Here is a 16,262-nt window from a genome sequence, read left to right as displayed (position 1 = left end):
GTGGGGAAGAGGGGGGAGTAGAGGAGGCCAAATACAGTATCGGCATCCAGAGTGTTGAGAGGAAATGAGGGAATCAAAGATGAAACACCCTGCAGCCATTCCCATAGTAAAAAGCAAAGCAAGTGGTTAGCATTTTGCAAGGAGTTTGGGGGGGATCCAGTCTCCTCAGCAATATTGATACAATTTGAATACTTAATGTGAATTCTGAGAAATAACATAAGAAATTACTAGTAAGCACCTCTCAAAGCCTGTTTGAGATACTATAACAAAATACCATAATCTGTGTGGCTTTTAAATAACAGAAATGAGACTAGGAAGTCCAAGGTCAAGGTATGTATTAGTCTGTTCTCATACTGATATGGAGAAATACTGGAGACTGGGTAATTTATAAAGGAAAGAGATTTAATTGACTCACAGTTCCACATTCCTGGAGAGGCCTCAGGAAACTTACAATCATGGCAGAAGGCAAAGGAGAAGCAGGCACCTTCTTCAGGGGGCAGCAGGAGGGAGTGAGTGCAAGCAGGGGAAATGCCAGATGCTTATAAAACCATCAGATCTTGTAAGACTCACTCACTATCATGAGAACAGCATGGGGGAAAATGCCCCATGATCCAATTACCTCCACCTGGTCCCACCATTAACACATAGAGATTATGGGGATTACAATTCAAGGTGAGATTTGGGTGGGGACACAGCCAAACCATACCAAGGTGCCAGCAGATTCTGTACTGGTGATTGTCTGCTTCCTTATAAATAGCACCCACTTGCTGTTCTTATGTGGTGGAAGGGGTGAGCTAGCTCTTTGGGGTCTTCTTTTATCAGGACACTAATCTGACTCATGAGAGCTCTGTCCCTCATGGCCTAATTGCCTCCCTAAGGCCCCCACTTCCTAATACTATCACCTTGGGGGTTAGGATTTCAGCATATGAATTTGGGGGAGGAAATAAACATTCTGATGATAGCAGCGCCCTAACAAATATGCACAGCATCACTTGGGAGGAATGTAGGACATCAGAGGAAATTCCACAGAACTCAGAAGAAGACAAATCTAAACTGAACCAAAAGCAAAGCTCTCTCTTCAGTAATACTCATCTGCCATGAGTTGACTTGTATCACCCCAAAAATAGATATATTGGATGGCTAACCCCCAGTACCTCAGAATGTGACTTTATTTGCAAATAAGGTATTTGCAGAGGTAATCCATTTTCTTAAAATGTCATAAAGGAGGGCCCTAATACAATATGACTGGTGTCCTTATAAAAAGGGGAGATTTGGACACAGAGGCAGACACGCCTAGAAGGAAGATGATATGAAGACATGATGAGAAAGCTATTTATAAGTCAAATATCAGCAGCAAACCACCAGTAGTGAGGAGATAGATGAGGAAAAGATTCTCCATCACGGCCCTCAGAAGGAACCCACCCTACTGACACTTTGATCTTGGACCTCTAGCCTAAATTCTGTTGTTTAAGCCACACAACTTATGGTACTTTGTTACGGAAACCTCAGAAAACTATTCGTCATCTAAGGATGTTCACCAGTTCCTTAGTGAGAAGGAGAGGAGAAAGTGATAGTCTACACTCCATTGATAAGCACACAATGTTTTTGCTTATAAATGATCTGACACTGCTTTGTTAAAGTGTATAGGTTCTTGATCTCCAATATAGACTCAGTTGTTGAACCATCTCCTTCATCCCTGAGTTAGGAAGCCCTTTCAGATCTATTGTAAATATTTGAAAATGGCACACTGCACCTGAGTATTGCCATCGAGATTCTAGTGGCTGCAATAGTCAAAACCAGAATGATTCTTTAATATGGCTCCCTTTTTATATCCATGTGGGTTATATGATACAGAAGCACATTATAGACCATTAAATACTATGCATTAACAAGAATATATTGACCAAAATATTCTCTCTATTTTATGTTTCTCTCTCTTCTCGACAAGGTTGAAAGGCTTTTATAAAACTCCAGGGAAGTGGTTTGAGGAACATTGAGAAAGAACATATTGTTCCAGCAGGAAACTGAGTGCAAGGCAGACACTATGGCAAAATTCCAGTTACACCAGAATTATCCTCACAGTACTTTACAAAATCCTGTCTGGGAATCTCCACTCTTTCCTCACTGTCGCCCATGCAACTATACCATCATCTAGATGACTTAGGGAGATTCTCCACGTGGTAGAGACTAGTAAGTATCCCTCAATATCCCTACACCTCTTCTTCTTTAGTAAAAACCCACAGACTTTTTTACCTGGAAGCATAGATATCCAAAGAAAAGACAACTTTTCAAGCTGCAACAGACATGCTCCAATGGCATATGACCCAATGGCATAAAGTGGAAGTGATATGTGTGTGTGTGTGTGTGTGTGTGTGTGTGTGCATACGTGTGTGTGTGTGTGTGGTTTCTATGTCTGTAAAGAAGATGTGTGAGGCATCCCTTGTCCCCTTCCATCTTCCTGGTAAGAGTGAAGACATGATAGCTGTACTCTGTAACATGATCCTGAAGCTATCTCTTGAGAATGGTATAGCAACTTGATAAAGGGATCCTACGCTTTGCCATCATGAAGTGTATGCCTGGCCTGGACTGCCAAAATCTGGTAATTTTTTATTAAGAAATAATTAAAAGTCTATATTACTTAAACCATAATTATTCTGAAACTTTCATAACATGCAGCTAAAATTTGTCATAAATGATTCAAGTACCTTAGAATACAAAGGACAGAAAACTATGCCAAGATGGTTCAAACAATACGAAAACTTATCTCACATAAGGAGAAATGCAGAAGTCAGGCAACCCCAGGACTGGTTAACTCAGCAATTCTAGGAGATCCAAGCATCTAGATTTTGGCATCTTTCTGGTCTATTTACCACTGCTCCCCCACAAATACCCTGTGCTTCAGCCCTGGTGAACTACTGCTGGTTCCCTACTTATACCTTGTTCTGTTAAGTCTCATTTCACTTACATAAGCTATTGCTTCTCTTTGGAATACTCTTCCTTCCCTTTTTATTTGGTGTCTTAGTCAGCTGGAGCTGACATAACAAAATATCATAAAGTGAGTGGCTTAAACACAAATTTATTTTCCACAGATCTGGAGGCAAGAAGTCCAGGATCAAGGTTCTGGCCAATTCGGTGTCTGGGAGGGCTCTCCTCCTGGCTTTCAGAAGGCTGTCTTCCCACTGTGTCCTTACACGGCAGAGAAAGTGTGAGCTCTCTGGTATCTCTTCTTTTAAAGACACTAATTGTATCACATCAAGGACCCACCTTTAAGATCTCATTTAGCCTTAATAACTTCCTTAAAGGCCCCATCTGTAAATTCTGCTGCATTGGTGACTGGGGCTTCAACCTAAGAGTTTTGGTGGGACATAAAATCTCAGTCCATAACACCTGGCAAACTCTCTTAATCTTCTAAGATATAATTCAAACCTTGTTTCCTTTGGAAAGCCTCCCTAGCCCCTAAACTATAATTAGATGTTTTCTCCTCAATCTTCATATTAGTTCCTATCATGCAGTATTAATTACATTGAACAATAATTAAGTACATGTTTGTTCCCCTCATTAGACTACAGGACATTTGCATTACTCTGTTTTCACATTGCTGATAAAGACATACCTGACACTGGGTAATTTATAAAGAAAAATAGGTTTAATGGACTCACAATTCCACGTTATTGGGGAGGCCTCAATCATGGCAGAAGATGAAAGGCACGTTCTTACATGGCAGCAGGCAAGAGAGAGAATGAGAACCAAGTGAAAGGGGTTTCTCCTTGTAAAACCATCAGATCTCTTGAGACTTATTCACTACCATGAGAACAGTATAGAGGAAACCGCCCCCATGATTCAATTATCTCCCACCAGGTCCCTCCCCCAACACATAGGAATTATGGAAGCTACAATTCAAGATGAGATTTGGATGGGGACACAGCCAAACCATAACAACATTGAAAATCAGGGACAGTAGTTTGTTTGCTTTTTATCCCTAACACCTAGGACAGTGCCTGGCACAAAGTTGGTGTTTAACAAATACTTAAGGAAAGAGGAAAAGAAACATTACACCTCTAGAAGAAAGTGTAAATTTTCCAAACAATTGAATTACAAATGAATGCCAGAATATCCATCATCCACTGAATTTGTGTCAATGATATATAAATTCAACTTCCAGATGTAGTGGTTAAGAGTGTCTGGGTTAATAGAATACTATGCAGTCATAAAAATAATGAACTCATGTTGTATGCAGCAACAAGGATGCAGTTGGAGGCTGTTTTCCTAAGTGAATAAACACATAAACAGAAAACCAAATACCACGTGTTCTCACTAATAAGTGGGAGCTAAACATTGGATACACATGAACATAAAGATGAGAATAATAGACACTGGGAATGGCAAAAAAGGGAAGGGGGAGTCCAAGGGTTGAAAAACTACCTATTGGGTAGTATGTTCACTATCTGGGTGACAGGATCAATAGAAGCCCAAACCTCAGCATCATGCAACATACCCTTGTAATAAACCTGCACATGTACCTCTTGAATCTAAAATAAAATAAACTGGGGGGGAAGGGGAAGAGGAGAGGTGGGGATGGTTAATGGGTACAAAAAAATAGAAAGAATGAATAAGACCTACTATTTGATAGCACAATGGGGTGACTGTAGTCAATAATAACTTAATTGTACATTTAAAAATAACTAAAACAGTATAATTGGATTGTTCATAATACAAAGGATAAGTGCTTGAGGGAATGGATAACCCATTCATTCTCCATGATGTGATTATTATGCATTGCATGCCTGTATCAAAACATCACATGTACGTCATAAGTATATACAGCTACTATGTACTTACAAAATCAAAAATTAAAATAAATACATAAATTCTAAAAATTACAAAAGAGTGTCTAGGTTAAAATGCTATTTTTCAGCTTACTAGTTATATGACTTGATTACTTACTGTAGCAGACTGAAAATACTTCTAAATTTGTTGATTTTCTTCATATTTAGAGGTAGAATCTAATTCCCTTTCCCCTGAATGTTGGCTAGTCTTAATGACTGGCCTGTGGCAGAAGTCACCTCCTGTGGGTTCCTAGGCTATTTGATAAGAAGCCTTATAGCTTCCACTCAGACCTCTTGGACAACTTGCCCTGGGGCACCATGTTGGAAGTCCAACTACCCCGAGGCCACTATGCTAGGAAAAAACTCAAGCTAGCCCTGTGAAGTCACCATGCAGACAGAGATGCCTGGCCAGCCCCTCACTATTCAAATCATCCCAGCTGTAGTCCTAGACCCCATGGAGCAGAGTAGCACTGCCCGTCAAATTCCTGCTCCCCCAGAAACATGAGATAATGGCAATAAATTGTTGTTTTAGGTCACGAAGTATTGCAGTAGTTTGTTAAGTGGCAATAGATGATGAAATACTCCACTGTGTCTCTGTGTTCTTGTTTGAAAGTGGGGATACAACAATTTTCTACCTCTTTGCATCACTGTAAGAGTTAAATGGGTTAGAACTTGTAAAGCACTTAATGCCTGGCCCAAAGTAAGTGCTTGTACATATTAGATGTTATTATTTTAAAGATGTTATTTTTTATTTCTATAGATCAAAACAATTTTGTTTTGGTGAAATTAGTGATGGCTCAGAGCTAAGGTACATGATGATCTTGATTAATAGGTCACATTGTGAATTGGATGCCTTTGGTTGACTTTTTAGTTAGCAGGACTTGATTCAGACCCTGTGTAAGTAAGGTGATCTCTTGCTGAAAATCCACGTGTCAAGGGCGAAGGAGCAACCCCTGCCCCAAATATCAACTTAATCATCTTCCTAAGGCATCTGAGCTTTGCCCTGGGCAGAGGAGAGAGGCTTCCTAGTACGCTTCCAAATGCCTCCATTTATACTGCTGTTTTTTTGCCTTTTCCATACTGGCATAATTTGACACTAACGGGAAAAAGCTCTTGAGGATGAAAACTGTTGGTCGTTTCTCCCTGTGAGCTTGGAATCCAGCTTCAGAGGAGGAGAAACACAAACATGACACTAATGGACTTCCCTTGTTCTCAGTTCTTCTCATTTCAAGACAGCAGTGCCCTTGGCCTCCGGCTCCTGGCTTCAGATCCATTAGTGCCGGGCAAATGAGCCATGTGGTTTCTCTCATCTCCTGCCCATAAACCACCACACATACCTCTCTCCTGACCCTTCCCTCTAGTTAACATTGTTTAACACACTCAAGGACACAGTTGCGGTTCTTTTATTCCTAGAAAAGCAAGACGTGCTAATGCTTCCTGTGCTGGCCACCTCGGTGGCGACTCAAAGCCACAGCCTGGGCCGTTTGATGCTTTCTATTTCGGAATGGTATTGATAGCCTGTTACTGAGTGCCTCGGTGATGAAAAGCGCCCCTGGGAACCCGCTGACACGCCTGCGTTCCTCCACTGACTCAACCTGGCACAGCAGTCACTTCACTCTCCCTGGACTTCCAGATGTTGCAAGGCCTTCTCCAGGGCAACATCAGGGCTCTGTGCCCCTGGGAGGAGGAACTGAGGGGCAGAAAAGGGATGGAGAACTCAGACACACACACAAGTATCCTAACTCACGAGGGCATTTGTGTGCTGGGCTGGATATTTAACCAGCACCTGAAGTAATGAAAAGTGTTTTGGTTTCAAAACACCAGACCTGGGTTTTAGGCCTCATTCTGCCTTATACTAGCTGTTTGAGTTTTGGTAAGCTATCTAGATCTCAGCCTGCTTATTTGTGTAATTAGCACAGAGGGCTATCCTGACAGTTGGACTAGATGGAGTTTTGCCTTTATGCAGCGGAGATCTGGAAGGGCATACAGATATCAACCATTACCAGGAAGAGCCCAGTTTTCTTGTAGCTGGGTCACAGACACATTTGGAATCCAGAGGATGCTAAAAACAGTTCAGCTGCTGTTCTCAACAGGCTGCCTTTGAGTCCACACAGAATTTACCTTCTCTGTTTCCTCCATACTTTCTTTTTCTTTTCTGTCTTCTCCCCTGGGTCCTAGTTAAGGATAGAGTCTGACCGTCCCTTTCCTCTGAGCCTGGGACAAGTTCGACTCCAGGAGCCTTCTTAGTGGAGCTCCTGAAATGAAACAAGACTCTCTTGTTGATCCTAACTGCTTCTCTTAGCAAAGCTTTGAGGTGAGATCTGAGAATGGGAAACGAGTGAGAATGGGACCACATTAAAGGGACAGAGAAGTGTACCTTGGCAAAGATTAGCACATAGTAAGTATTCAGTAATGCCCTTGCCTTTCTTTAATTTTTTTTTCACCTAGTTTTCACTTTTATTCTGTCCAGGGTAGTTCCTTGTGCTCTCAGTTCAATTTGGATGTTTTCTTATCTGGACATATCTTAACATCTGCAGATGATTTTCCAAACTTGAGGGCTTGTAAACAATTCTGAGTCAGTTGTGGTGGATCATGCCTGTAATCTCTACGAAAATATGTTGGCTTTTTTTTGTTGTTGTTGTTTGTTTTTTGTTTTGAGACAGAGTTTCGCTCTTATTGCCCAGGCTGGAGTGCAATGGCGCGATCTTGGCTCACTGCAACCTCCACCTCCCAGGTTCAAGTGGTTCTCCTGCCTCAGCCTCCAGCCTCAGCATGTGCCACCATGCCTGGCTGATTTTGTATTTTTAGCAGAGATGAGGTTTCTCCATGTTGGTCAGGCTGGTCTCAAACTCCCGACCTCAGGTGATCCGCCCACCTCGGCCTCCCAAAGTGCTGGGATTGCAGGCATGAGCCACCATGCCCAGCAAAAATATTTCTTAAAAATTAGCTGGGTGTGGTAGTGCGTGCCTGTGGTCCCAGCTACTCAGGAGGCTGAGGTGAGAGGATCCTCTGAGCCAGGGGAGGTAGAGGCTTCAGTCAGCCATGATTGCACCACTGCATTCCAGCCCAGGTGACAAAGACCCTGTCTAAAAAAAAAAAAAAAAAAATTTCTGAGTTTTTCATAATTCTTTTGTTTCTTAAAGCAAATTGGTCCAATGACTAGATTCCTCCATCACAGTTAATTAATTTTTTTCTGGTCCTTATTTCTAATATCTGGGGTGGATTTCCACTGATATAAAGAAAGCTGAAGACAGATCCCAAAATTCACTATGCCCCTGAAATTCTATTTTGTATCTAGAAAAATCTAAAATCCTTCAGTGCTCTAGAGTTTCAGTTTAAGAAAGCTCTCAGCCAGTGACTATACAGGGACAAATATAGAACAATGACAGCAATTACCAGGACACTGCCCCACTGACAACATAAAAAAGTAATGTCATAAACCTATGGACACAAACCAGTTTTATGTCAAGGAGCCCCGACTCCAGGGTTCTTCTGTAAAGCAGGAGAGGGCCATTAAGCCCTGGGCTTAGCCAGACATCCTCATCCATGGGCCAGGGTGAGCCGCCAGAGGGCAGAGCCGTGGCAGCAGCAAGACAGCTAGCCAGCACACTCCGCAGCTCCTGCAAATATTTAACTAAATCTTCATTCTAACTCTCCAACCGACTAAATGTGTGACCTTGGGCAAGTTGCTTAAGCTCCCATGTCTCAGTTTTCCTCACGTGTAAAATTAATAAAATCTAGGCCAGGAAGTGTTATGGAAGTTAAATGAATTTATACATATAAAACTCTCAGAATGATGCCAAGCAAATAACAAATAACATATAAGTGTTTTCTGGTATTACTGTTGTTCTCATCAACTATTTTGATTACATTTTTAAAAAATAGTCTTTCTTCTAAGCTAACACAATTTAAAATTGGAGGTTCGCACAAGTCAGTCTCTTCCTTGTCTTTCCTAACTTATTCATAGATTTTATTATTATTATTATTATTTTAGAGATAGGGTCTCATTATATTGCCCAGGCTAGCTTTGAACTCCTGGGCTCAAGTGATCCTCCAGCTCAGCCTCCTGAGTAGCTAGGACTACAGGTATGCCCCAACAAACCCGGCTTTTGATTCATAGATTTTTTTTTTTAAAGTCGATTCCAATTTCCCATTCCCCATGTGTTGTATAGGGTGTCAGCTGGGAGCGTGCAAGTCTGAGGGCTTCAGGCTTTGCCACTGTGTGACCTGGGGCAAGGCACCTGGCCATCTGCTCCTCCCTTTTCTCCCATATGAAGTGGAAGGCTCATGCTAGGTTACCTGTGGAATCAATTCAGCCCTCAGGCCAGGAGAACAGCAGGGCTCCTTCAGTGCTGCATCCCTGTATTTCTCTTTCACTCCAGATTCCAAGCAAGGCTGAAGGCAGCCTATTTTCAAACTGCTCAACTCTCTCAAGAGAGGAAGAAAACCTGCCTTCAAACATAGCTCGCTGACTTTCCCCAAGATAAGCAACCCCCTTCCCAAGACTCTCTGATTATCAAACATGTCAGCAGTATTCTAAGAATCCTGTATAAAATAAGCAAACCAGTCCTCCGGGAAGACCTGAGGGACTGCTTTGAACAAGGGAAATGAACCTTAATGCATAAATGGATACATCCTCATTAAGCTGCAGATGCCAGGAATCACTGGGATGCTGACCCCTGTGCGGGAGGTACTGCACCTCTGCAGGTGGCAGGGTCACCAAGGAGCATAATTCTCTACCCCCTGCAGAATACTTGCCTGGAATATCTTTATATTCTCCGGGTGATGCCTGTAGAATTTTTTCTTTCTTTCCTTTAATCTCTCCTTCCAAAGTAGTCTCGAGCCCCTGCTATGCGCCAGAGACTGTGCTTACTGACAGTTACATAAGGAAGATTAAGACATGCTTCTTGCTTTCAAAAAATTCACACATCAGTAGGAAAAACTAAAATGTAAAGAATTCTATAACACAATGCCAGGCTAAATCTGGTTCCCCTGTTAACACTCTAATAGCACTTAGTACTTTCCTTTTCTATCACTTATCACAAGTTGGTAAATGCACTTGTATATTCCATTAATTAATATCTTACTTCTGCCAACCCCCCTCTCACATTGTAGACTGTGACTCCTTGAGCTAATATATACTTAGTAATTATTATATACCAGACACTGTCTTAAGTGCCTTATATATATTATCTTTCAATCTTCACAACTACTTTAAGAAGAATATACTAATATTCTTATTTTACAAATGAGGAAACCAAGACAGTAACGTGCCTGAGGTCACACAGCTGGTAAGAGTCAGAACCAGGTCTTAAACAAAAGCGGTCTGGCTTCAAATCTCTGTTCTCAGCTCTCTATTAAAGGGAAGATATCAAGACTCTTTTAAAGGTGATGGATAAGTAGGTGATACAGCCTAGAAAGATTTCCTTCTAAAATTGTTAAATTTCAATAATGTAGGTAAGCTTCCTTTGTCTGGAAAATCCATTCATATGGAACTCCTTAATTCCTACTATCAAACCCAATTTAGGCTTTGTGTATACAAAATATAAAGAAGAACAGGAGATAAATGGTGGCACTTAGATCAGAAAAAAAGAATATTTATTGCAAAACAAGTCTATGTGTATTGAAAAATACTGTTATCCTAAAAGCAAAAGGCTATATATTGTCATTTCTCTGACTTGATCTAAATTTAAGATTATGAAAGCCAAAGAAAATTGATCAACTATTTCCTAAAGAAAGAGACCCACCTCCACTGCTGTAATAATCCAATTCATTAACCCATGGACAGCAGGCACTTCTCTGGTAGACGCTTGTTATCATCTCATCAACTAAAAATGCAAATGTCTGTTAAAAATAAATGAGATTGGCAGCTGGGCATGGTGGCTCACACCTGTAATCCCAGCATTTTGGGAGGCCGAGGCGGGTGGATCACCTGAGGTCGGGAGTTCGAGACCAGCTTGACCAACATGGTGAAACCCCGTCTCTACTAAAAATACAAAATTAGCTGGGTGTGTGTGGTGGTGCATGCCTGTAATCCCAGCTACTAGGCAGGCTGAGGCAGGAGAATCACTTGAACCCAGGAGGCAGCGGTGGCAGTGAGCCGAGATCACGTCATTGCACTCCAGCCTGGGCAACAAGAGTGAAACTCTGTCTCAAAAAAAAAAAAAGAGATTGGCTGGGCATGGTGGCTCACACCTGTAATCCCAGCACTTTGGGAGGCCGAGGCAGGTGGATCACTTGAGATCAGGAGTTTGAGACCAGCCTGGCCAACATGGTGAAACCCTGTCTCTACTAAATATACAAAAATTAGTTGGGTATGGTGGCAGGCACCTATAATCCCAGCTACTCAGGAGGCTGAAGCAGGAGAATCGCTTGAACCCAGGAGGTGGAGGTTTCAGTGAGCCAAGATAGTGCCACTGCACTCCAGCCTGGGTGACAGAGCGAGACTCTGCCTCCAAAAATAATAATAATAATTTTTAAAAATGAGGTTCCTTAATGCATCCGTGTAATTTAAAGACATATTAGATTTCTAAACTGTTTAATTGTTCTGTGCCTTTTAAAAGTATAACATGAAGACTTTTTGTCTTGATGTGTTAAATTCTTGTTTGTAGTTTAAAGCCTGACATGACACCAGTTAGGTTTAAACCCTGGCTCTCTTACTAATTATCTACGTAGATGTGGGCTGTTGGTCCAGTTTAGTTAACTGCAAAATTAGAAGACTGAATTAAATGATTTGTAAGATTCTTTTGTCCTCCCCTAACATATTGAAATTTGAAAACTTTGTTTATATCTTTGTATGATGCTTTATTTCCATTCAATAATGTTAGAAAATATTCATGTTTGACTCCAGTTTAAATTCTTTCCATGAGCATTTACTGTAATAAAAACAATTAAATTCACTTAGAAAATAAATTGGAGTTAGGCTCAGTGTTCAACAAAGGAGTCTGGTTCGCAAAGCATCAACACACAGGACAAGGACATCTGTTGTAGAGATTATTGGTGTTTACAAATACCAGTGTTCTGCTTTTCTTCTGGGCACATGGCTGGAGCACATCTTGCAATTAGTTGAGACCATGTGTCTGAATTTCAGCCAATGGAATATGAACCTACATGGCATGTGCCACATCTATGCCTGAAATGTTAAAAATGTCCTTCATGCAGTCCTGGTTCTCCTTTCCTACCCACTAGCTAAGTGGACAGAATTTGAAAAATGGAGAGAAGAGCAGAGACACAAGACAAAAGGAGCCTGGGCTCCCGAATGACCACATGGAGCAGAATCCTTCTGCAGGCCTTTACTGGATTGCCATGAGAGAGAAAAAGACGTTTATTACGTTAAAATACTGAATTTGAGGCACTAGCCTATTCCGACCTTTTAGAGTTTTATCCAGGTGAAATTGGGTTAAAATGAGCATCTAATTCGATCTTGAAGGAAGGCAATCTCACAAAATGGTTAGTCTGCGAAGTGCCACATTTGTGATGGGCATCTTGCAGCATGCAGCCCTGTGAATCTTGTGACACTACTTTCTAATACCCTATTCTGTCTGTCATTATACACAGGTCACCCTAGTTTTGCCAATGCACTTGCTGCACTTCCAGCACCTCTCTACAGCACTTCACTTTCTCCTCTTCCTACCCAAGTTCTTCCTCGGTTTCCCTAATACTCTATTATCCAAATTTCCTCTCTAATAAATGCAGCTTAGCTGTTCTTCATTCATTTTTTCATTTGCTATCCTTTATAACATTACTTTTAAATCATTTTGAATTTTCTAATTCATTTCTTCCCTTTTCTTTTCTTTCTTTTTTTTTTTTTTTTTTTTGAGATGGAGTCTTGCTCTGTCACCCAGGCTGGAGTGCACTGGTGCGACCTCGGCTCACTGCAACCTCTGCCTCCCGGGTTCGAGCAATTCCAATCCTCTGCCTCAACCTCCCAAGTAGCTAGGATTATAGGCGCCCACCACCACGCCCAGCTAATTTTTGTATATTTAGTAGAGACGGGGTTTCACCATCTTGGCCAGGCTGGTCTTGAACTCCTGACCTCGTGATCAACCTGCCTCAGCCTCCCAAAGTGCTGGGATTACAGATGTGAGCCACCGTGCCCAGCCCTTTTTTTTTTTTTTTAAGAGACATGGTCTCACTCTGTCACCCAGACTGGAGTATAGTGGCATATTCATGGCTCACTGCAGCCTTGACCTCCTGGGCTCAAGCAATTCTTCCCCCTCACTTTCCCAAGTACTTGAGACTACAGGTGCACGCCATCATGTCCAGTTATTTTTTATTTATTTTTATTTATTTATTTATTTTAGACGGAGTCTCGCTCTGTCACCCAGGCTGGAGTGTAATGGTGCGATCTCGGCTCACTGCAACCTCTGCCTCCCAGGTGCACACTATTCTCCTGCCTCAGCCTCCCGAGTAGCTGGGACTACAGGCACCCGCCACCATGCCTGCCTATTTTTTTGTTTTTGTATTTTTAGTACAGACAGGGTTTCGCTGTGTTAGCCAGGATGATCTCCATCTCCTGACCTCATGATCCACCCGCCTCGGCCTCCCAAAGTGTTGGGATTACAGGCCTGAACCACCGCGCCTGGCCCATGCCCAGCTATTTTTTAAAATTTTTTGTAGAAATGAGATCTCACTATGTTGTCCAGCTGGCCTCAAGCTATCCTCTCACTTTGACCTCCCAAAGTGCTAGACTTACAGGCATGAACCATCATACCTGGCAGCTTCACTGTGTGTGTGTGTGTGTGTGTGTGTGTGTGTGTGTGTGTGTGTGTGTAGACAGAGTCTCACTCTGTCACCCAAGCTGGAGGGCAGTGGCACGATCTTGGCTCACTGCAACCTCCACCTCCTGGGTTCAAGCAATTCTCCCACCTCAGCCTCCCAAGTAGCTGGGAGTACAGGCACACATAACCACACCCAGATAATTTTTGTATTTTTTGGTAGAGATGGGGTCACCATGTTGGCCAGGCTAGTCTCAAACTCCTGACCTCAAGTGATCCACCAACTTGGGTCTCCCAAAGTGCTGGGATTACAGGCATGAGCCACCACACCTAGCCAGCTTCACGTATTTTGCAGCTCTGTTATTAGGTGCATATGTGTTTAAGATTGTTATGTCCAGGCCAGGTGTGATGGCTCATGCCTGTAATCCCAGCACTTTGGAAGGCCGAGGCAGGTGGATCACAAGCTCAGGAGTTCGAGACCAACCTGGCCAACATAATGAAACCCCATCTCTACTAAAAATACAAAAATTTTCTGGGTGTGGTGGCACGAACGTGTAATCCCAGCTACTCGGGAGGCAGAGGCAGGGGAATCGCTTGAACCCGGGAGGCGGAGGTTACAGTGAGCCGAGACCATGCCATTGCACTCCAACCTGGGTGACAGAGTGGGACTCCATCTCAAAAAAAAAAAAAAAGATTGTTATGCCGTCTTGATGGAATGAACCCTTTATTTTATGAAATGGCATTCATTATTCCTGGTAATATTCTTTGTTCTGAATTTTATTTGCCTAGGTTCCACTTCCCTGCTCCACTACTTAGAAACTCCTTAAACACAGTAAGCTGGGACAATTACAGGGCTTACCTCATTTGTCTCTTAGCTCTCAGGAATAATTGTCCTTTGTTGTTTGTTGCCTAAGTGTCTTTAAAAAATTATTTCATACATTTTAGGCAATTTTTGGTTGTTTCAGCCAGCGGAGTAAATCTGGCACCTATTACACTATCTTGACATGAAGGTGAAGTCACTAAGTGCATCATCCCATTTGATCCTCATTGGAATCCTATGAAGTAACTATTATTCTTCTTTTTAGTGAAGAAAAAAAGTGAAGTCTCAGTGTAAATAATTGGTCTACATTTACACAACTAGCAAAATCAATTGAAATAAATGGAACAGGTAATGATTTGGGTGATAGGCACAACTATTTCCTGAAACTAAAATTAGACTCATGGTGTAAGATTTTTTTTTAATAATTTGTAAGTTTACTTAATGTAATAAATTTCACAAAGATAACAAGATCGAAATGCATTTAAGTTCGCATGTAATGATTTGCTTTAACTGACAATAGTGCAGTACATAAGATGAAGTCTGTCTCAGAAAACCTAGGCTAAAAATTCAAAATACTTGATGGGAGAAATGATAAAATCTTGTAGCCAGTGAGACTGAACAAAGGATAAAAGCTAACAATATTTATTTCTGGTAGGAATTCGACCTGTTGCCATATTTTCAAAATATCCCCAAAGCCAGCAGTCCTGAAGCAAATATTTTTAGTATTCATGGGAGTGTTTAAAAGAAACAAACAACTGAACTATGTTTTTTTAACCTTCTATTTTTCTTTTGCCCGTTTGAATGAAATGCAAGTAAATAATCCAGAGTGGCTTGGGAGGGGCCACCCAAAACATGACTCAATCTGTGTCACAAAGATAGTCTTAGGGCATAAATGCCTCAATTTAGCAAATGTTCTGCAGTGGGCTGAGTGGGAACAATGGGAAATCCTAGTTCAAAGGTGCCTCCTTCTTCTAAAGTACGTATCATGGTGTCTGGCACATCAGAAGCCCTAGCAAATTTGAGTTCCCTTCCCTTCTCTCCAAGCAGAATAGATCAGACCAAACACTGTCCCTGTCACAAAGGAAGCAGCAACTCAAGGACACCCAAGCAAGGCTAAATGAGGAGGCTTAATTTGTTTTTATCTTGGAGATCCTTTACTGACACTAATTAATCTCTCCCTCAAACTTGGAGGGTTAGCAAACCTCTTTTAAAAAAGCTGCAATATAACGCTCCCTAAATGGGATTTTAACTAATGTATAATAATTACTCTTATCATAACGGTATCTCTTTACCACATTCAGAAGAGAACCTCGCCTGTCTGCCATAAGTGGTGTTATTAGAGGGAGGAGAGTGTTTTTTCCTGTCCATTCATGCTCCAGCTGCCATTCAGCTGCATTCTGTGGGGACAATGATCCTCGCCTTTTATGGAGTACAGATGGAAATGCAGAACCACAGCATTCACAGAGATTCTGCTGTCTGCCACAGAATGCTAGTCTGCTCTATTTCTTTGGAAATGCATAATATTTCTGAGCTATATAAAAACTTTCTTTAAAAAGGAAACTGCTTTCTGAGTCCTCTGAAGCCAAGAAAGAGAAGTCAGATATGGAGAGTCACTATTACAGACTTGGCCTTTAGATAAAATGCCTCTTTTATTTATCGAAATGAAAGAGAATTTGCAGCCACACTGCATGAACCAAAACTTAATTGCACAAAAATCTGATTGGAGAGCTCATTTTGCTCTTGGACACAACAGAAAAGCATTTGCTTAGACCCAGTCTGGCTGTGACTTGCTAAAGTAGAAAAAGCATGGGCTTTAGCATCAGATAGACCTGGGTTTGCATCTTAACCTGCCATATGATGATAGAGTTTCGAAGGTAGTGCTGTCCAATAGAACTTTCT

The sequence above is a fragment of the Homo sapiens genome, chromosome 1 (assembly GCF_000001405.40).
Source record: "Homo sapiens chromosome 1, GRCh38.p14 Primary Assembly".
Taxonomy (NCBI): Eukaryota; Metazoa; Chordata; class Mammalia; order Primates; family Hominidae; genus Homo; species Homo sapiens.
This window is presented reverse-complemented; position numbering follows the sequence as displayed.